Raw genomic sequence first — 23,806 nt, 5'->3', positions numbered from 1 at the left:
TATTTTCTGGTGATGTAATTTTTTCTTTTAAAAAATATATGGAGTTAGGCTATTCTTGTCATAAATTATATTTTAACAAAGGTTAAAACTTATTTTGCTTTGTTCTTTTCACTCTTCCTCAGGCTTTTGATAACTATAAGCACACAAAAATAATGTTATTTATAGATAATTATCTGAACCATCAATAAATCTCCTTATGTAGACTCACCCCCTACCCCCAAAAAGATTTAAGAACTATTTTTGAAGAAGTGTTAATTTTATTTAGTATATATTATAGTAATAACATACAACATTTTAAAATTGAATAAGTTCACCTCTAATTATTATATCTTCATTTTGTTTTGGCTTGTTTCATTTACTTCTGGTCAGCTATATCTGTGCAGGTATATATGTACATATGCATATATATGTACATATGCATATATATATGTACATATGCATATATATATGTATGCATGCATATATCTATCTATCCAACCATCCATCCACACACACAAAATCCCACACACACAGTGAGAACACTTATGTCCATGCTGTTTAGATTACTGCTTTTGACCATTTCTATGTTTATCAGAAAAATGTGTTTTCCAAAGAATATCTGCACTTTCTTCATAGCTGTCACTTTATTGTTTTGCTTTGCTAAATCATTCACCTGTTATTGGACAAGACATAAACATACATAGGGTTTCTTAAATTATTTTTCCCGTTTTTCTTTCTCTTTTCCTTGTAACTTTCTCCTTGTCTTTCTTGATCTCTGGTGGATTTAGATATGGCAAAGAGAGGCTAGAGCTTACTGAAAAAGGAATAATTAAGCAAGATACTTCGATTATGCCCAAGACCAAAACTTTCTGAGTTCTAATACAGCATTCAATAGCCCCAGTAGTGAAAGTTTTTTAGTTCTCATTCCTTTAATTTCTGATCATGTAGCAGCAGAGAACACATGGCTCTTGGAAACAGTAGACTTGGGTCAATATTCTGTCTCTGCTACATACCAGTTATATTTGGTTTGTACTCATACCACTTCTCTGGGCCTCAATTTCCTCATCTGTAAATTGAAAGGGTTAGGTTTCAAAAAGCCATGAATGTACAATAGAGGCAAAGGAGAGAAGCAGAGAATTTCGAGTGTCACATTTCTCTAAAAGAAGCAAAGAATGAGGTTGATTTTATGGCCTTTTAAAATATGTGATACTGGCTGCATACTTAAGGGAAAACAAAAACTAGGCTTGTGAGGATTTGGAGATCTTAGCAGATGATTGCTACAGATTAAGAATCCGTAGAGAAGTCACATATAACCATACACTCCATTAAAGCCTTAAATGGTGTGAGGAAGTCTGACTGAATAGATATCAACTAAGTGAGGATGAATGCAGTAGAGCACGTTTATGGTTCTACATAATCATATTTCTTTTTTTTTTTTTTTTTTTTTTGAGACGGAGTCTTGCTCTGTCGCCCAGGCTGGAGTGCAGTGGCGCGATCTCGGCTCACTGCAAGCTCCGCCTCCCGGGTTCACGCCATTCACCTGCCTCAGCCTCCCGAGTAGCTGGGACTACAGGCGCCCGCCACCACGCCCGGCTAATTTTTTGTATTTTTAGTAGAGACGGGGTTTCACCGTGTTAGCCAGGATGGTCTCGATCTCCTGACCTCGTGATCCGCCCGCCTCGGCCTCCCAAAGTGCTGGGATTACAGGCGTGAGCCACCGCGCCCGGCCCATAATCATATTTCTATATTGCATCTTGATAACTGGCTAAAGGGAATGCTTCTGATTTCTTTTCAGTACTATTACCTCTTCATTATGCTATTGTGAATTGAGAATCACATTTTTTCAAACACATGTCTACAAGTCCGTTGTGGTAGTCTTAAAAAATAACTGAAAACGTGGCACTGAGGTTGACCAAAGAATAAATTAAACTGGTTTGCCATAGGCTGACAAAAGATGTCTTGGTGAATACCCTCCTAACTCTTTCTTACCCATTAGAAAATTCTGTTTAAAGTGAATTATGTTAAAAATTAATGAACATGATGGGATTGTGGGAGCTTAAAAGAAACCTGGCTGATGATTTTATTGTGGTTATTTGTTGCTATACAACTCATGTCAGGTTTTACATCCAGCACTATCAAAAATTCAGAAAATGAGAAACATGCTGGCAACTGATTTGGTGTAGAGATTGGGTGAAAGAATTTGAGCCTATTACTTTACCTCTTCTAAACTCAGTCTGCTCAATTTAAGTATGGAAATGATGATGATGATGATGATAAAAAATAAACTAAATTCACAGAACTTTTCAGTGGCTCAAATGAAAAATGGAAATAAATATGTTTTATAAAGGATTATACATATGGGAAGACTTTTCACCACTACTGGTCAGCTTTCACAATACATGAGATGGTATAATCTTTAATAGGAATAATAATACATAAATCTTCTTTCCTTGAACAGATAATAAATAGCTCTCTTTGTTATAAACTCTAAATACAATAAGTGGTTTTTTTTGTGTGTAAAAGCATCAATTATCATTTAATTAACTGAAAATTTACTCTGTGTTATGCTTGTGCTAAGCACTTATATTACATTACCTCATTTAATACTGATGCTTCAGGAAAATAAGTTATTGACTATCACACGACGAGTAAATGGCAGATTTAGAATCTGAACACCTACAGGTCTGTTTCCTCTGTTGCTCTCACGTTCTGCACACATGCTGCTCTTTTTGACTTGACCTCATCTTTATCCATCTGATGCTGAAAACTACCTATCCTGCTTTTCAAAAATACTAACTCTGGTTCAGTGAACTGACAGTCTAAAACAGAAAACAGATGAGTAAAGACTGAAATAAACTCACACACTAGGTACATATTAGGATGGCTTGTATACCTTCATTTAGGAGGTGTACAAGAATAATTTTATATATGTCATACAGGTGAAGCTTTTAGCATATGTGTAAGGTAAGAAATATATATAAAGGAGGATACACTTGTGGCAAGAGGCTAAGTTATTGGTGTCATGAGCATAAGAGGCAAAAGCTCTTATTTTAGTCCCAGATAGCTGTGTGCCTTTGCGTAAGTCATTAAAGTTTTCTGTACTGCTCATTTTCTTCATTTGGAAAGTGGGAACATTGAAATATTTCCTATATTATAGTGATACTTTGAGATTTAAATAAATTATCTGAGTATGATAGGTTGTAATACAAGTGTGAGAGATTTTAACATAATAGGGAATTGTAATTTTCGTGTTAAAAAATTCTTGAAAACATTTTTTCATTCATTTTCAGGACTTGATTTTAGATACTATGCTTTTGTTTTGTGTTGGTAGTAAGTACCCCAATTAAACTGGCATTTTTGTTTTTACATGTGCAAAGCATCTCCTATGGAAATAAAATTAAAATAATTGTTCAGTTCCATCCAGAACTGTCATGTTGCAGCCATTAGCAAGCTATAGTAAAATGTTTGTAAGATATCAATAATGGATTACGATATAAATATTTATGGAGTGCTGTGAGGTAGTTAGTTTCCATCAAGCTGGGACATGCAAAATTGAATAGATACTGACACTAAACAAGATTTTGATTAAGTGGTTGTGGCATAATCCTTTTCCAATATTAAACAAATACCATCTTTAACATTGTTTGAGGTAAAGAGGGTTTTGGAATGTTGGTAGCAGCAAAAGTCTCTCTCATAAAATATATATTATTTTAATGGATCGTGAATATAGCATAGCTTTGTAAATCTCTCTATTATTTTCTAAGTTTACACAGTGGGAAGAAAACATTTTAAAAATATGCTTATCTAGTAGTGCCTAGATATTTTGGAAAAAAAATGTATTTGTGGTGGCTAATTTGAGATGTCAGCTTGACTGGATTAAGGTATACCTAGACAACTGGTAAAGTATTGTTTCTGGATGTTTCTGTGAGGATGTTTTCCAGAGAAGATTGATGTGTGAGTCGGTAGACTGAATGGGGAAGATCTGACCTCAGTGTAGGTGGACAATTGACTGGGAACCTGGATAGAACAAAAAGCAAGAGGAAAGCATTAGGTTGGTGCAAAAGTAATTGCAGTTTTTGCTATTAATTTCAATGGCAAGAACCACAATTACTTTTGCACCACCTAAGAAAATTTACTCTCTCTCTCCTGGAGCTACAGCACCCTTCCTCTCCTGTTCTTGGACATCAGCACACAAGGTTCTCTGGCTTTTGGACTCTGATACTTATACCAGTATCTCCTTGGGTTTTTGGGCCTTTAGCCTCAGATTGAGAGTTATGTCATTGGCTTCCCTGGTTCTGATGCTTTTGAACTTAGACTGAGCCATGCAACCAGCATCCCAAGTCTCCAGCTTACAGATGTCCTATTGTGGGGTTCTCAGCCTCCATAATCAATCACATGAGTCAACTCCCCAGATAAATCCCCTCTCATCTGTCTGTCTGTCTATCTACCTACCCATCCATCCGTCATCTATCATTTATCTATCTATGCATCATCTATCTGTCTGTCTGTCTGTCTATCTATCTATCTATCTATCTATCTATCTATCTATCTATCTATCTGTCTATCTCTCTATCATCTATCCTACTGGTTCTGTCTCTCTGGAATATTCTAATATAACTCTTAGCATTTTTGTCTCCAAATATAAATGATTATCCTATTACGGCATTCAAATTCGTTTTGAGTAGTTCTTTTCTCTATTTCTGTCTTCTATTCTGTTGCTTAATTTTTTCCCTCAGGGAAACTTGATTTATGGAGTGGGGTCTACAACCAAACCATTCCTGTGGCATCCTTAAAAATTATTTCAGACAAATGACGTAAGCTCTTTTAAAATAGTACAGATTCTATAGGCCATATCTTTTTACTACTGCCTAATTACTGAGTATTTTACTTAACCTTGTGCCAGACACTTTTCAAAGTGCTTTACAAATATAAATTGGCATGAAAATCATGGCAAGGCTACTAAAAATATTTATCCTAAATTTAGAGATGAGATAAATGATTATTGCTTGATTTTTAAAATGTCATGCTAGGTCATTTTCCAATAAGCCCATTTGAGCATCATCTGACACATGCTGAGAATGTAACTTTGCTTGGCTAACAATCAACAACTGAAAAGTGTGTGGATGGTTTATGGTCCTTTGAGGTCAAGAGATTGACGTGCAGAAATTAAAGAGTTTTTATAATTTGATAGCCATGGAGATATATTAACTCTAAAGGTGATATGGTTTTATAGCTCTGTTGAAAGTTAACCTAGTGAACACTACATGCAATTTGCAATTCGACTTAAATCTTCCTTTCCAGCTACTTTATCTTTCTGCTGATTTCTTCATAAATGTGTTAGATAACACTTTAACAAGTGCTAGCTAGTTTTTAACTTCTATAAATATTATCCCCATTTTACAGGTGGATGGAAATGTGGCACAGCAACCTTAAATAACTTGCCTGAAGTCACATAGCTAATAATGGGGTATAGCAGGGATTCAAATCCATGTATTTTGGCTCAAAATTTGTGTTCTTAACCATAAACAGTTTGACCCTTCTCATTTGCCAAGATATTTATTATTATACCCCTGCCCCATTAACAAGAAAATTTCTAGTCTCCTCATGCCATATGTAAGGCATTAATTGAGGTTCTTCATGTATAACTACTCACCATGGCTTATAGTCTCTTGTCTTTACAAAACAGCTTCGGAGAGCCAGAGCCAGTTCACTCAAACATATTGGCGTACTCTGTGGTGCAAATTGAGCTTCAAGAATTTTGGTATAGGCCTTAAATCAGGAGAACAATCAGCTTATTAATCAGCTTGTTAATCAACAAAGGATCTCTAACAGGTTGAGGTCTTGTATTCTGCTTTACAGAAATGAGTTAGTGATAACCCAGTATACCTTGAAACAGTTAAGCAATTGTTTCCAACCAAGATCTCATTTGAAATGACAATTATGAAACGTAAGAAGAAGGCTGCACTTTGCATGGAAATGTGTCCTGAATTTTGATTTGGTGACTCAGATGTGATGACGACCACCATATTGTTAATTAATTTTTGGTAATCATGACATTGGTAGCTAAATGAAATGTCCTGGGGTTGTTTGTATGTAAACCTCAGGTGATTAGGAGCACTTCCCAGAACAGTTCGGGAACCTTGGAAGACAGGAGCTCTGTAGTTGTGGGGTGAAGAGCTCCCTGGTGCAGGAGAGCATTGCCTTCTTCATAATGACGGTTCCACACATTTTGCTGCCTCCATCACACTGCTGGAGAAAGAAGAGAATTTAAATAAGAGAAATGAATAATGTTACAAAATGCTGACCTTTGTGGTGACACTAAAGGATCTTCAGAGTTGAGATATGGTCAGACTCAACTCAAGGGGTTTAGGTTTAACACGTTGATGTAAGCTCTCCTCTTGCACTGAAGCGGAGTGGGAGAAAAGACAATCTGTAGAAGAGATTTTCACAATTCTCTGAAGGACAAGGATTATAAGTCTTGCCAAGATTATAGAAAACTCTTGTTGCTAATGAAAGTTTAGTGTGGGCTTTGTCAAAAGTCAGGGACTGGAAAACAGTGTGTTTGGAGAGCAGTTATGACCAGGATTATTGTTACCATTAAGGTGATGTATGTAAATTAAACAAACCACTGGTAGACATAGTAGAGAAAAGCAACTACTCCGAGTCTGCTTTTCTTGCTATCATATAACTCAGTTTGCAGATTGTACAAAATAAACTTCATTTTGGTTGCTTCCTTTTGATCATCATTTATCTCAAATATCTAATGCTTCTCATTTAAATTTTAAAAATTTGACTTGCCTGCCCTAAATGTCAAATTCAAAAGTTGTGTGACTTTCTTTCAAAATAAACATTAAGACTTTTGGGGGAAATAAACATTTTGATTTTGAAAACATTCATGACTATACAAGATAATTTGATGAACACTAAGTTTGTGTTGTTTGTACACTGCTTTTTATTTTGTGGTAAATTGTTGACAAAGTAATGCATCCTTTCTTCATGTTATAGATGTATAACCACTCTACCACATCAAAAGCCCAGGGATTGCACTGTAGAAAGTCTCATTATCAGCACTAGCTTTCTGAGTGTACTTTTGGACAAGAAAAAGTATTTATGTTTCATTAACTACTAAGATTGTCATGTTTTAGACATTTCAAAGAGACAATGCTACTGCTTTTTGTTCCCAGTGACTGAAATGTGGAAAGCTTTCGTATTTGTTATTGTGTAATGTGCCATTATCTCCCATGAAAGCTTCAGGCCTGTGTGACACACAGCTAAAACTGGGCATTTGTTTCTACTCTGCTTATTCTTTTACAACACGTGTAGAGAGTTAAAAGAGAAAGTGGTATCTGTTGAAAGTATACCCTGAAGAATTCTTAGTTTTTTCAGTTTAAAAAAAAGAAAAAAGAAAAACCAAACAGAATACCAAACCTCCAAGATGAAATTAAAACATTTTCATTTTTAAATAGCCCCAGATATCACTTAGCAAGAATCAGAGAACAAATAGAGTTTCTTTGCATCACAGTTAGGCCAATATGCTTCAGTGAACTGTCTCTCCAAAGCTCTTTTGTAGGGACAAGCGATTATAAGCTATGGCGAGTATTTACACAAGAAGAACCTCTTTACTTTGTTTATACATCTTTTTTCTTCCGTTTTTAACCAATTGTACAAATATAAGCAGAAAAAAATGGGTGTAACCAGGAGACACTGAAGAAGATTTTAATTTGGTACATTATAAACCTGATATGAGCAAATAATGTAAGGTAATTACTCTTCAACTTTTACTAATAATTTGCCCACAATAAGGACAGAAAGAACTGCTTTCCTTGGCACTTATCAAACTGTCTAGTTTTTGTGCTTGGACCCTCGTGTTAAGTGGGATAGAAACACATTCAGAGGATAAGGATAAGGGAACATGTAACTCTCATATTCAGAGTCATTGAGAGAACTGCAGATAGATTAGAGAAGATATGATTGCTATCTTCAAATACTTTAAGAGTTGTCATGGAGAAGAGGGATTAAACACATTATGTATAGCCTTCCAAAGCATTAGAGCCAGGAGAAATGAGTAGAAGCCATAGGGAGCTAAGCTTCAGCTAAATATAAGAAAAATGTTGAGTCCAAATAGTCTGAGGAAGGAACAGATTGCCTTTAGAGGGTATGCATTATGGATCAATGGAAGTCTATAACTTACTATTTGCATTCACTGGCAGGGGTGTTCTACAATGACATCAAGTAATGAATGAGTAATTAAATAATTTTCTGATTCAATAAAACACTGGTTTAGCCAATATGTGCATTTTAAATTTAATTAAAAATTATGCTGGAGTTTATTTTAAATAAAAACTATTCTATAAATTTCTTGAATACCCGAGTTCATTTAGGTAATATGGAAGACACATATGCTTCTTTTTGCTAAGTGTAGAATCACTGAATGTAACAGGTGGATGAGATTTTTTAAATCATTGAGTTTGACACCTTAATTTTATAAATGAGGAAGTTGAGACAAAGAAGTGATGTGACTTGCAAACATTCATAGAATTAGGGTCAAGGTTAAAGGTGAAAGGCAGGATTTCTGATTAACAGATCTCTTTACTGAAAGAATTGAAAAGGATGTGTGCTCTTTGCTGAATGCCACCAGTAACTACAAGTATTAAGCCACACTGAAAGACAGCTATCTTTATTCACTGTGTGCGTATAAACTTGCTCACTTACAAGCTTAAGCTAATAGATCCCAGGATTCTTTCCTAATTGCTGTGTCTGATACTTGTATCTTTGCCTCTTCATCATGTTTGGTTGATCCTTAATTCTTTAGAAGTTCCAAATAAGGCTTTACAGGATCTCAATGTATAACACTGAAGATAGCCTTTTAGAGCGTTCTTGGACTCAGGTGTTGGAAAAAAATGAGGGCATTGTTTAAAATATGTCAGGAAGTAAGATTTTTTGGTCTAGTTATACTCCACATTTGAATATGACTATCTGCCTCATCCAAATTCCCAAACACATACATACATGTACACACATACATACACACACACCCTTTTATTGGAATAGATATTCAATTACTGCTGATAGCAAGAAAAGTGTTTGAATATTATTGTCACTAAGGAGGGAAGGGGTTAAAGTTGTATTCTGTCAAAAGGCATAATGAGCTATGACTCCAACTTACCAAACTTCTAACACTATCAAATGGATTCTTTGGTACTGAGGAGACTAAGCATTAGTTTATTTCCCTGTTTTTTTTCCCCCTCACTGTTTGTGATTTTATTCGTAAATCATATACATAACCAGAAGAGGTGGTCACACTTATCAATAACATTAAAATAAAATTGTTCTGAAAACCATAGTTTTATGCAAAGACATCTGTGAGTGAGAAAACTGTTCATTTTATTTTCTCTCTTGCTAGTTATAAGAGACCAAACCAATTTCAAGGTGTCCTCTCCTGTTTACTTCTTTGTGCATGTCATGGTTTTCTGAGTAGGTTAGAGCCAATTTTTTACATCTGCAAGTTAATGCCTGCCAAAAATTGACCATTCAATGGGCTCATTCCCAGTTTAATTGGCCACTTGCTTCTTTTTTCTGAGAACACAAGAGGCCAATTGCACCTGCATTGAGCCTGATGGAGATTCAGAAAAAGAATATTTTAACAATTCTATTTTAGTGTGTGACTCATTCTTTTTCATAGGAAGAAAAAAGTGACATTGTCACATTGCAATGTGTAGCAATATATTTATGATTATTTTACTTGTATTTGTAATGTAAATTTTTTTGCAAAATACAAGGTGATTTGACTCTTCAGTAACTCCATGAATTTGTTCTTTGAATTTAAAAAGCATAATCAAAAGACTTTTCTCTAGGTTGATAATGCAAACTTATTGTTGTGCAAGTTTATCCTTGAATACTTAAAATAATGAAACAAGCATAAAACAATTTGTATTCATACACATATAAGAAAGGAGGAACTGATGCAATAAAGAGCATGACATTGATACTAAGGTAAATATTACATATAAAATTATACAATAATTCAAGTAAGATTATATAATTTTTACATATAAAATATAAAATTTATAATTTTACAATTATATATTCTTATTTAAATTATGTATATTTTTATGACTACTCAGGATAGAGTAATTATATGGTATCTCTTGGTCAGAATTGTGAAAGAGCCCCATCTGATGCGTTCATTAATTAAAATGAGAGTGTGGTGAGGATAACGCAACTCTGAGGAGCATACTTTTCTTTTATGTAGAGATGAAGGGAAGTAGGCCACTTTTAGATTTGTGGGGACTGAAATCTGTTAAGTAGATCATATTATGTCACATTCTTTGCTTATGATTGTTCTGTAACCATCCAATATTCAAAAGAGAAAGTCCATACTGCTAATGTGGCATTCAAGTCCCTCTATTCTCTAGCTATTGCTCAATTCTCCAGTATCATCTCTCATCAGCCCCTCCTATGGGCTTTATGATCCAGAAATGCCAAATTGCATACAACCAGTTGTTCATCAACTCAGTACCTTGGAGAGAGGTTACCACAAATCAAAGAATGCCAAGGTTTAACAAGAGTCACCACAAGCTAGGGAGAGTCAGGAGAGGATTCTTCCCTGGAGCCTTTTGAGGCGCCATGCTCCTGCCAACACCTAGATTTTAGATTTTTAGCATCCAGAACTGTGAGAATACATTTCTGCTGTTTGAAGCCACCAGCTTGTGGTAATTTGTTATGACAGCCCTAGGAAACGAATATAGCTGCTATGTCTTTTGTGAAAGTTAATGGCAAACTTTCAGCCCAGTAAAGACAAGATCACTAATGATACAGAAATTTCATGAATAAAGTTTAGAGGCACCTCATCAAGTTGAGAATCACAACAAGCTTGAGTTTGTGAATAGCAAAGGGTCTTATAGCCTCACCCTTGAATTTTTACCCTGAAGTCTTATTTTACTGCCAAAGCCCTGGCTTTGGTCCTTTACATAGAGCCAAAGCATAATGGTCACACCTTCGATTTGGTAGAAAATAACTTCATCTTTCAAGCTGAAATTAATTGGCTTCTTATATACTCACTAAATTTTGCTTACAAACTGGGTTATTTCCTTACCGTATCTCTTCCTTGCAATTTCTTATCAAATGCAGCTGGTAAAAAAATGGAATAAAATAAATCAAGCAACCTAACAAAAACCAAACAGAGCATGCTTTTTACATCTTGTCTAAGATTCCACTCCTCAACTATAAACTTGTCATATCCATACTTTATCTTTAATATAATCTCACACATTTTTATCAAATGTTTTTCTACTCCATAACATAGGTTGTCACTTTTTCAGCTTCTCACCACAGTTCTCATCATTTCTCCAGGCTTCTATAATGACTTCCTTGTGGAGTAATACCTGGTCCTAAATCCACTGTTAGGTTTTTGTTAAAGAAGCAACCCACTTCTAGTCCATGTCTACCTTGGTTATCTTTTGCCTCAACAAAATTGTATAATAAACCACTACAAGTGTAGTGTCTAAAAAGCAATCACACATTCTTGCGGAATTGTCAGGAGGTGGGAAAGAGTGGGTCTGTTGATAAAGTCTGTGATCTGCTGAGTTTGGTTCCCATGCAGGTCAAGTGCAAGTCTGCTGTTCCTCATTCTTCTTGAATAAGTAGACTATCCAGGATGTGTTCTTTTCACAGGGAAAGGAAAAAGTGTGAGAAGCCATGCCTGACTTTTCAATTACATTTTCTCTGTATTTGGGGACACTCCTGTTAACGACTATTGGAAAAACAAATCATAAGGTTGAGTCCAAAATAATGGTTGATGAGTTATGTTCTGTCTATCATGAGACAAAAAGAAGACACACAGAGAATACTAGCATTAATAGAGCAGGGAAGTATACTGCTTCCATGAAAGTGAGCATGAATACCTGATAAATGATCTATTTTATTCCATCTGTCTTTTTTCTCCATCTGTCCTTAGGTATCTTTTAATTTTTGAGTTCAGAAATTTCTGTATTATGTGTTTTGGTATTGGTTTCCCTTTATTTAAAATTATTTTATTTTATTTTTTAATTGTACATATTGATGGGGTACATAGTGAAGTTTCAGTAAGTATAATGTACGGTAAACAGCTTAGAGTAATTAGCATATTCATCATCTCAAGCATTTGTCATTTATTTGTGTTGGAAACATTCAATATTACCCTTCTAGCTATTTGAAACTATACATTGTTGTTAACTATTGTTATCTTATAGTAGTATAGAACAGTAAAACTTATCCCTCCTAGCTAGCTGTAATTATGTATCCTTTAACAAGTCTCATCTTATCCCTCCTTTCCCCTTATCAGTCCCAGATTCTAGCACCCTCTGTTCTACTTTTCACTTCTATTAGGTCAACATTTTTAGCTTTCACATGAGTGAGAACATTCAGTGTTTAACTTTCTGTTTCTGGCTTATTCAACTTAGCATAATGTCCTGTAGTTCCATCCATGTTGCTGTGAACGACAGGACTTCATTCTTTTTATAGCTGAGTAGTATTCTTTTGTGTATATACATAACACATTTTCTTTATCCATTCATCTGTTTTTGGACACCTAGGTTAATTCCATATCTTGGCTATTGTGAATACTGCTGCAATAAACATGGGGGTCCAAATGTCTGTCTGATACAATGAATTCCTTTTTTCAGATAAATTTCCAGTAGTGGGATTGCTGGATCATATGGTAATTCTATTGGTAGTTTTTAAAGGGACCTCTATACTGTTCTCCATAGTGGCTGTACTAGTTTGCATTCCCACCAACGGTGGTAAGGGTTCCCTTTTCTCTGCATCCTCACCAGCATTTGATATTGCCTTTCTGATAATAGCCATCCTAACTGGAGTGAGATGATACCTCATTGTGGTTTTGATTTGCATTTCCCTGATGATTAGTGATGTTGAACTTCTCTTTCAGATATTTGGCTGGCCACTTATATGTCTTCTTTTGAGAAATGTCTGCTCAGATCATTTACCCATTTTTTAATCAGATTGTTGGCTTTTTTTTTCTGTTAAGATGCTTGAGTTCTTTGTGTATTCTGGATATTCGTCCCTTGTTGGATGAGTAGTTTGCATATACTTTCTTCCATTTCTGTAGATTGTCTTTTCACTATGTTGATTGTTTCTTTTGCTGTGCAGAAGCTTTTAGTTTGATATAATTTAATTTTATTTTTGCTTTTGATGCCCCTGCTTTTGAGGTCTTATTCATGAAACCTTTTTCCAGTCCAATGTTGTGAAGCATTTCCCTGTGTCATCTTCTAACAGTTTTATCATTTCAGGTCTTGCAAAATGAATTCTGAGTTGATTTTTGTATAGAGTAAGAGGTGGGGATCTAGTATTCTTCTGTACACAAACATCCAGTTTTCCCAGAATCATTTATCAAATAGACTGTCTTTTTCCCAGTGAGTGTTCTTGGAAGCTTTCTCAAGTCAGTTGGCTGTAGATATGCGGATTAATTTCTGGGTCCTCTATTCTATGCCATTGTTCTATGTGCCTCTTTTTATGCCAGTGCCATGATGTTTTGGTTACTACAACTTTGTTGTATATTTTGAAGTCTGTTATATAATACTTCCAGCTTTGTTCTTTCTGCTCTAGATTGCTTTGGCTATTCAGAGTCTTTTGTAATTTCATACACATTTTCAATTTTTGAAAAATGTTTATGTGAAGAATATCATTGGTATTTTGATAGGGATTGTATTGAATGTGTAAATCACATTGAGTAATATGGTCATTTCAACAATATGAATTCTTTCAATCCATGAGCATGGGATGTCTTTCCATTTGCTTATATCCTCTTCAATTTCTTTCATCAGTGTTTTGTAGTTTTTCTTGTAGAGGTTTTTTCACCTCCTTGGTTAAATTTATTCCCAGGTATTTTATTTTGTAGTTATTGTAAATGGAATTGCCTTCTTGATTTTTCAGCCAGTTTGTTGTTCAATAATATACAAAAATTAGTTCATACTACTAATTTTTGTATATTATTTTTATATTCTGCAACTTTACTGAATTCATTGATTAATTTCACGTTTTCTGGTAGAGTCTTTAGGTTTTTCTATATAGAATATCATGTTATCTGCAAACAGGGACAACTTGACTTTTTCCTTTACAATTCGGTTGTCCTTTACTTCTTTCTTTTGACTAATTGCTCTGCTAGGACTTCCACTACTATGTTAAATATGAGTGGTTAGAGTGGGCATCCTTGTTTTATTCCAGTTCTTAGAGAAAATACTTTTAGATTTTCTCCCACTCAGTAAGATGTTAGCTGTGAGTTTGTCCTATATGGCTTTTATTATGTTGAGGTATTTTCTTTCTATACATAATTAAGAGTTTTCCTCATGAAGGATGTTGAATTTTATCAAGAGCTTTTTCTGCATCTATGGTGATGAGCATATGGTTTTTGTCCTTTATTATATGGATATATATGACATTTATTGATTTGTGTATGCTGAATTATCCTTGCATTCCTGAAGTAAAACCCACTTGATCATGCTGTATTATTTTTTTGATGTGCTGCTGGATTCAGCTTACTAGGATTTTGTTGAGGATTTATTCTTATGTCTATGTTCATCAGAGATATTGGCCTGTGGTTTTCTTTGTTTGCTGTGCCATTGTCTGGTTTTGTTATCGGGAATTCTTGCATAAAACTTTTAAGTAATCTCTCCCTCTCCCTGTACAGGTTTTAATGTTTTTACCTCACACTTCCAGGACCAGTAATACAGCTCTACTATTACTTTTTTTTAGCTAAGTAATTAATTATAATTTCTGAAAAATTCATTTAGTTGATATGAATAACAATACCTCCACAGAGTGTTTTATATTGGATTTATCATCTTCAATTCAATTATTGAAGTATTCAAAATAACTGTAGTCTTACTGTTTCTAAAGTTGAGAAGGTTTAGGTATAATTTTGGGAACCAAATGTCTGGGTTTGTCCTATAACAGCAATTCCCAAGAAGCTGCTATTTCAAAGGAAGTTGCAGAAATTAGGTTAAAATTAACTTTATTACTAAGGGTTGCCTCTTCCCTTTCTGTGGAAGGTCAGTTACATTATTCTGAAAAAGGTTTAGAGTCTGAACATCCTTATCTATGACTCTTTACAAATATCTCTATAATAGACTTTTAAATAGTATTTCAGAAGATAATTCCTGAATTTGGAAAAACAAAAACAAAAAACACAACTCATTTTAGGTGACAAATAACTTGACTATCTTCTCTGCATTTAATAGAACTTTTTTTATTTGTTTCATACCATTTCCTCAGGAAAAAAAATATTCAAGGCTTCTATATTCCTAACAAAGCAAGATGAATCTGCATTTTAAACACATCTTTTTTCCTAATGTAAACTTCATTTTGGTTAATGGAAATATACTTACAGAGGAATATGAATGAGTATTAGGAAGTATTCTATGATCTATATTTGGAAATATTTTATATAAGTCAGCTCCAGTTGAGCTTTGCTAAGTTTTTCTTGTTTTCTTGTTGAATTTTTATAATTTCTTAAAGTAAACATAAATACTCCAGGGTCTTAATTAAGTGACATATTGGGCTTGTGCAAAATGTGTAGAAAAATTAGATTTCTTACAAGATATTCTAATTATCTCGTCCCTAAAGTCTGACCAGGAGCTGCACTGGTGTAGCAGAAAAAAAATCATATCTCTTACATTATACAACACATCTGTGGCTTATACTTAATCATTATCCTACTCTAAAATGAGAATGAGATTTTTTACATTATTCCAACGAGCTAACTTTGATCTTCAGATGTTTGAGGTCAATCTCCCTATCATACTCCCTAGACTACCTCTTTGATTAAACTTATTTGATTAAGGTTATTTTTATTAAATTAGATTATTTGTATTAACCTAAACTATATTAGTCTTTGGCAATGGGTTCAAGGAGAAGAATTAGTGAAAGAAGAAGGGAATATATTGAGCTGGATTATACCTACCTGAACTTTTGCATGAGCAAATTTTGTAAAAGAGAACATTTGAGGATAATGTGCAAATGATATCTGAATCAATAACAAAAATCAGTGGCAATTTTCCTGACAATTATTTGGGGGTCATATTCACAAAACTGGTAAATATGGTCATTTAAAGGTAGGCATATCTTAATCTAAGTTAATGACAGACCTAAATAATATTTCCAATGTATATGCTTTCTTGTAATTAGAAATATATGTGGAAAGAATGAAGGAAATCAGGAGTTAGTCTTACAGAATTAAATCAAGATGATTTTTTCTTATTCGCAAGACTGAATAAGAAAAATATCATTCTTTATTATGAGAATTAGATTGAGGCTTAGGTGTAGCTTGATGGCTTGTCTACATAAGAACTCTATAAATTTTAAAAGATACATAGTATTAGGATATTGACAGTTTGTGCCTCAGTTCTTCATGAATGTTTGCACTTATTTTAACAAATGGTTGCCAACTGGCACAAAAAACACCCACAAAACCAACCAGCAGAATGACTGAAATTATATCATTGGTGGTGAATTCATGTGTATTAAAGTTGCTTCCAACTCAGTGATTCTCTTTCAAAATGCAAATGCTTCTGGACGAAGGGATAAAATAAACTCTACATTTCAGTGTGAATAGGCAAAAGGCAATGCCATTTGGTCATCATAGAATATCTGTTGCTTTGGGTGAAGGAGAGGACACTTAAAGCTGGGGAAAATGCAAACTGAAAAGATTTCGGGAATTAAGACAAACTTTGCCCAAATGTGAAGATGATGAACAGGAAAATATAACTACCACTTTGAAACTTTTACTGATTTAAACATTTATCATTGTTTTGCTAACTTTAAAAAATCTGTTGGCATTTATAGAGGAGGAAACTGAGTTCCTTGATACCAAGTTATTGATTCTACTTGTGATAGGTGGTCTTTATCGTTAAGTAGAACTACTTTTTGGTGGGAAGATTTGCCAATCTGATTTTCAATTGCACTTATTTGACAACCTCAAAGAAATAATTCAATGGTCATTTGTCAGTCCTCACTTTGGTAGAACTATCAGCATCATATGACATAGTTGGTAATTCCTTTTACCTTTTAAACACTTTCCTCTATTAGTTACTGGGATAAACATAATTTCCTGGGGTTTCTCCTACCTTAATGGCTGCTCCTATTTGTTTTGCTTTACTGTATGAAAAGGAACAAGCCAAAAAGTGTCAGAGTGTCCCACAGCTATGTTTTTATACTATTCCTCCTCTTTACACTTATTTCAAATACTCAACAGTTTCAAATAACACATACGCTGATGACTTCCAAATATATATTTACAGAACTCAAAAACCTCCCTCCTAAACTTTAGATTGTTGTATCTAACTACCAGCTCAACCTATCTACTAAGAAATCTGGTAAGAATCTCCAAATTAATGTTCAAAACTGAATATGCAATTTTTGTTTCTACTCTTGTAACCTCATCTTCCCAGTATTTTCATCTTGGTAATATGCAATTCCTGTTACTCAGATGCTCAGTCAAGTAACAACAACAAGAAGATCTGGAAGTTTTCAGAATTCGTCTTACGATCATATACTATTATATATATCAGAAACGCCTACTGACTACATTCAAAGTATATTTAAAATGTGATTACTTCTGTACACCTATACAGTGACACCATCACTGGCCTGCACTATTGAAATAGGAAATTAATTGGGGTCTCTTCCTCCATTCTTGTTTCTATTGGCCCATTTATCTCATAGTAGCAAAAATATTTTAATTCTATGACTTCACTACTTAAAATCTTTGTCAATTCTAGGCAGGGCAACAAGGCGTGAAAACATATAAGGGATACATTTTTGAAAGAAGCTAAACTTTCATTATTTGCAAATGACAATATTGTATAAATGAAAAATCCAAAGACTCTACAAAAAGCCATGAGAATTATTAAGTAAATTAGCAAGATCAATATGAAAGAATTTGAGGTAGTATGTTCATAGATACAAGGTCAATATACAAAAGATACAAAGTCTATACAAAAAAGTCAATAATATTTTAATACACAAGCAACAGATTACAAAATGAAATTAAACTATATTATTTACAATAACAAAAAACCATCTTATTAAAGATATGCAAGACTTCTACACTAAAAACTGCAAAATATTGTTGAGAGAAATTAGTGACTCCCTAAATAATGTAGAGGTTTACCATGCTTATGGATTGAAAGACTCAATATTATAGAGATGTCAGTGGCACTCAAATTAAGTTGTTGAATTAGTATAATTTTGGTAAAAATTACAGCAGGTTTCTTTTTCCTTTGAGAATGTTTGTGTTAATATGTGTGTGTGTAAAAGTTTGTAAGTAGATTCCAAAATGTATATAGAAATGCAAAGGACATAGAATAGACAAGACAATCTTAGAGAAGAACAAACCACAAGATTTACATTGATAAATTTTCAAAGCTTATCATAAAAAATGAAATTAAGATGCTGTGATATTATAATGATGAACAAATAAGGAAACAGAACAGAAATTCCATATACATATTCATTTAATGTACAACAAAGTGGTACAGGATGCTTTTTCAATAAATAATTCTGGATCAACTGGATATCCATATGAAACAAATGAACTTTGGCTGTGACCAGTCCATACACAAGACTCACACAAATGGATTACATATATGAATATGTAAAGTAAATAATAAAGCTTGTATTAAAGAAACAGTATCTTTGAAGCTCTAGAGTAGGCATAACTTTTAAGAATAAGACACAAAAAGCACAAACTATAAGAGAAAAAAATTGATCTTAATTAAAGTAAAAACTTCTGTCTATTAAAAGACATCATTAAAAATGTGAAAAAGCGAGACACATGCTCAGAACAGATTTTGGTAATATATATCTCACAAATGATTTGCATACAAAATATAAAAAGAACTTCTATAAATGAATTTTAAAAGACAAAACAGAAAAAATCCTAATAAACAAAAGTCAGCAAAAACCCATGAACAGATGATTCAAAAAATAAAACATTTAATTTGACACTTTGCACATGAAAAGGTGCCCAACAGTCATCCAAAAAAAAAAAAAAAAGAAGGAAAAAGAAAACTAAAACCACAAAGCAGTACTAATAAACATTCAAAATAATGGCCAAAATTAAAGAGCCTAGTAATATCAAGTGTTAGCAAAAACAGGCAGCAACTGAAACGGACACATTTCTGGGTGGAATATAAATTAGTAAAATCATTTTTGAAAGTCTTTTGGTAGTTTTTTTTTTTCCAAGTTGAAACATACCCAACAATCAAGCAATCCCTGTTACAGACCTATTAAAAATGAGTGCATGTGTGCATGTGTACACCAACGGACATGTGCAAGCATATTCCTGACAGCTTTATTCATCATAAAGCTCAAGCCAGGAGCGACCCGAATGCCAAAAATTGAAGATATATATATAATTATATCACATTTTATAATTATATATATCACATTTTATATAAGGAATACCTTTTGGCAACATAAAAAATACACGCAAAACATAAAAAACATCAAAGATGCTATGTTGCCAAAATGTGAAAACAAAAATTACCTACTTCATCTTCCCTGTGAAGATCAGGAACAAGAGAAACTAATCTTTTTAATAGAAATCAAAATAGTAATTGCCTTTGAAAAAAAATGAACTATTAAATAGGAAGAGAATCTTTTGGACTGCTACAAATGTTGTATACTTGCTTAATGTGGTAGTTACATAGCATATGTGCAAAATTCACCAAGCTACAGGCATATTTTCCTCACTTTTTGTCTGTTATAACCAAATTTAAAAAACTCCAATGGCTTTTTATTTTACTCAGAATAATAAAAAAAAAATTTACAAGACTCCTCAAAGTCCTACAAAATCTAGTTTTTGGCCACCTCTATGACTTCTCACCGCTCTCTAATTTGCAGAGTGCTGCAGCCAAACTTACTTTGTTTAGATGCCTCAGAATATTATCTTCTTTCAGGTCACTTGTACTTTCTATACTTTCTACTTGAAACTTCCCCCTGGATATTTACTTGGCTCCATAACTCCATTCAGTTCTTGATGGAAAGGTATCACCTTACCCATACCTCCCTAACTATGCAGCACCTAAACTAACACCTCCTCCCCACACACTCTATATTTCTGCTTAACTTTGAAATGCTTATTTTTTCCTCCAAAATCTTGATCTGAACTGACATATATTTCTTTATTGTCCGCTTTGCATACTAGATTGTGGGCTTCACGACAAAGGTGACCTCGTAGTTACTGCCACATCTCTAGCTCCTAGAATAAAGCTCAGCACATAAGTGGGCATACAGTAAACACTTGTTTTGAATGAATCATGCACTATCAATTATACTTTTTATCTCTTGTACATCTAAACTTTGTGTTGTGTCAGTCCTCAAACACAAAAGCCATAAAAACTCTTTATGTATTCTCCAATCCCACTCTACCTCCTCTCCATATCTAAAAATGATATAAAATTTGTCTAAACTTACTTCAATATTTTAAACTTTTTTCTTTTTTTATTAACAAATAATAGTTGTAAATATTTATGGGGTGCATAGTGATAGTTTGATACATACAATGTAAATGATCACACCAGGGTAATTAACATATCTGTCATCTCAAACATTTATTATCTGTTTTGGGAACATTCAATTTCCTCCTTTGGCTATTTGAAACTATATAATATAATATTGTTAACTATAGTCATGCTACAGTGCTATAGAACAGCAGAGCTCATTTAAACCTCTTATTCACTATAGAATTCACTTTGTTACCTGGCCCCAGGATTCCACTAAAATAATTCTTGATAACATTACCAATCGCCTCCAAGTTATTAATATTGATATTGCCCAGAGATTCTACAACAAAGCTTTTGTCTCAGTTGATTAAATCACTTGGTAGCTTCAGTTGAGTTGATTTTGTGTTCTCATTGTTATTACTACTTTTATTACTTTCCCTGCTTAGTCTGGTTCAGCAATCATTGCATTTGATAGATGTTGGCTATGTGTATACTGCACTAATTTCTTGATCAGCAATACTTTGATTATAAGGAAATACTTTGATTATAAGGAACAAATCTCATTTGAAACACCTATAGCACAAAAAAGAATCATTGTATTGGAAAGATAAAAGGACATCACATTAAAGCCAAGGACAGGAAGTGAGGCTGGGACTCCAACAACCCTGAAAATTTGGGCAGCACTTCTACAATTTCTTCACAGAAAGACTTATTGGTCTTTCTGCTCTTCCCCTCCCTTTTTTTCCTCTTTTCTCTGGTCAGTTTTCTTAGCTTCTATATCTATATTCACTGGTCCAGTGTCTACACTTCTCTTATCCTTGTTCTGAATTCCTGGAAGACAGAATTTAATTGGCCTAGCCAAATCTCTAGAGATACTCTCTATTAGGTGTTCATTTTCTGCCAAATAACCTATGGCCCGGAGAGCCATATAGCGCATATAGTAGTCTCAGGGTCTTACCGCTAAGGGAAAGGCAGTTCTCATAGAAGAGGATAAGGAGAACGCAAATATATATATATAACCTATAGATTAAAAAATTGATTGCTATGTTACTCTAAATTTTCCGCTTCACTTTGTGTCAATATATAGATTTTCTCATCCACTCCTGCATTTATACCTGCTTCAGGTGTGGTCATGAGCCCTGAGAATATCTTCCATTTGCACAGCTCATTCATTTCAGGTAGCAATGATCATTCCCAAGCTCATCAGGCTGTTAACAAAAGTTCATGAAAATAGCAACAGTTTAATAAATGGTTTCTTTTTTTTTTTTTTTAGCAGATGTTATAAGCCCCAGCTGTGCAAAGCTGAGTAAGACAAGGATTCTGCCCTTCAGGTACTCACAATATGGTGGACAGACAAGGAAACTCATAATTACAATGTGGTGTGTGAAGGGAATTGAAATAGCTATGTCCTTATTTCTAAGTGCAAAGCACAGGAGAAAAATTGAAAAATTGAACCAAGTCCCTTATGCATCTTACAATCTGATACAATTACTTGACACAATTAAGTTGTTTCTGTATTTTTATTTTAAAGTGGTTGATTTGCCTTTTACCTAAAAAGATGATATTTGATTTCTATCTAGAATCATAATACTTAACTAGGTAGATAAACTGTACATGAAATAAATAGTAATTGTATTATAATTTTATTTGCGTGTATTGTGACAGTGATATACTTCAGGATATTTTACATTTCATAATGCTAGTAAATAGTATTCTTATTAACTTTGTAACAATTTTAAACATAAACAAGTTGGATGTACTGGACAAGGAACATTTTTTTTCTGACTAATTTGAGATGAAATTGACAACCTAATACCATTTAACACTCCAATACTTTAGTCCTAGAAATAAGAACATAGGTTTTTTTTTTTTTAATTGTTGTCATTCAAGGTCACCTGCATTTTATTCATTTTTAAAACATAGTCTATATCAGGGTTTGTTAACATTCTGGATTTGTTTGCTATTTTATTACACTTATTGTACTATACTCTGTCTTTTTATGTTGACAAACTTCAATTTTCCTTTTTTTAAAATTTATTTTTAATTTTAATAGGTTTTTAGGGATCAAGTGGTGTTTGATTACATGAATAAGTTCTTTAGTTGTGATTTCTGAGATTTTGTTGCACCCATCACCTGAGCAGTGTACACAGTACCCAATGTGTAGTCTTTTATCCCTCACCTACACCCACCCTTTCCCCGAATCCCCAATGCCCACTGTATCATTCTTATGCCTTTGCATCCTCACAGCTTAGCTCCCACTTACGCCTACATATGATGTTTGTTTTTCTATTCCTGAGATACTTCACTTAGAATGATACTCTTCAATTCCATTCAGGTTGCTGTGAATGCCATTATTTCATTCCTTTTTATGGCTGTAGTACTCATATATATATATACACACATATATATACATATATCAACTAGTGGATAAAGAAAATGCGGTATATATATATATATTTTTTTCTTTATCCACTAGTTGATTGATGGTCATTTGAGCTAGTTCGATATTTTGCAACTGCAAATTGTGCTGCTATAAACATGCATGTGCAAGTATCTTTTTCATGTAATGACATCTTTTCCACTGGGTAGATAGATACCTAGTAGTAGAATTGCTGGATCAAATGGTAGATCTACTTTTAGTTCTTTAAGGAACCTCCACACTGTTTTCCATAGTGGTTGTGTTTTTAATAGCTCTTAGTAGCATTTAGTAGTAGTAGGACATAGTTTTTAGCACAAAAAACAAGTTGTATCCTCCTTAATAACCATAACTATCAAAACCAGAAACTTAACAATGATACATATGACTACCTAATCCTTAGTTCCCATTCTAATTTTTCCAATTTCCCTAAAAATTTTGTCATGTAATTTACACATGACAGAAGATTTCAGTTTAGAATCCCTCATTGCATTTAGTCCTTAGTCTTCTTCAATTTGTAACAGTTCCTCAATCTTACCTTTGAGAGGTGACAGCTTGCTGGCAGCCCTCAGCCCTCGCTTGCTCCTTGCTCTCGGCGCCTCCTTGGCCTTTGCGCCCACTCTGGCAGCGCTTGAGGAGCCCTTCAGCCCCGCGCTGCACTGTGGGAGCCCCTCATTGGGCTGGCCGAGGCCGGAGCCAGCTCCCTCTGCTTGCAGGGAGGTGTGGAGGGAGGGGCGTGGGCGGCAACCGGGGCTGCGAGCGGCACTCTCGGGCCAGCGCAAGTTCCGGGTGGGTGTGGGTTCAGAGGGCCCCGCACTCTGAGCCGCCCGCCGGCGGCGCGGGCCCCGGGCAGTGAGGGGCTTACCACCCGGGCCAGCAGCTGCGGAGGGTGCGCCGGGTCCCCCAGCAGTGC

At 34.3% G+C, this 23,806-nt stretch overlaps 1 long non-coding RNA gene across 1 annotated transcript; it reads right to left on the bottom strand.

Moving 5' to 3' along the window:
* Positions 1-5,519: 5,519 nt before the first annotated feature.
* LOC124909460 (uncharacterized) lies at positions 5,520-23,506 on the bottom strand. The gene is made up of 2 exons (XR_007096175.1): positions 23,432-23,506; positions 5,520-6,228 (listed from the first exon to the last, which is right to left on the bottom strand). It is a non-coding gene; the product is annotated as an uncharacterized LOC124909460 (long non-coding RNA).
* Positions 23,507-23,806: the final 300 nt, after the last annotated feature.

This window comes from Homo sapiens, chromosome 3 (genome assembly GCF_000001405.40).
Source record: "Homo sapiens chromosome 3, GRCh38.p14 Primary Assembly".
Lineage (NCBI taxonomy): Eukaryota > Metazoa > Chordata > Mammalia > Primates > Hominidae > Homo > Homo sapiens.
This window is presented reverse-complemented; position numbering and strand designations above follow the sequence as displayed.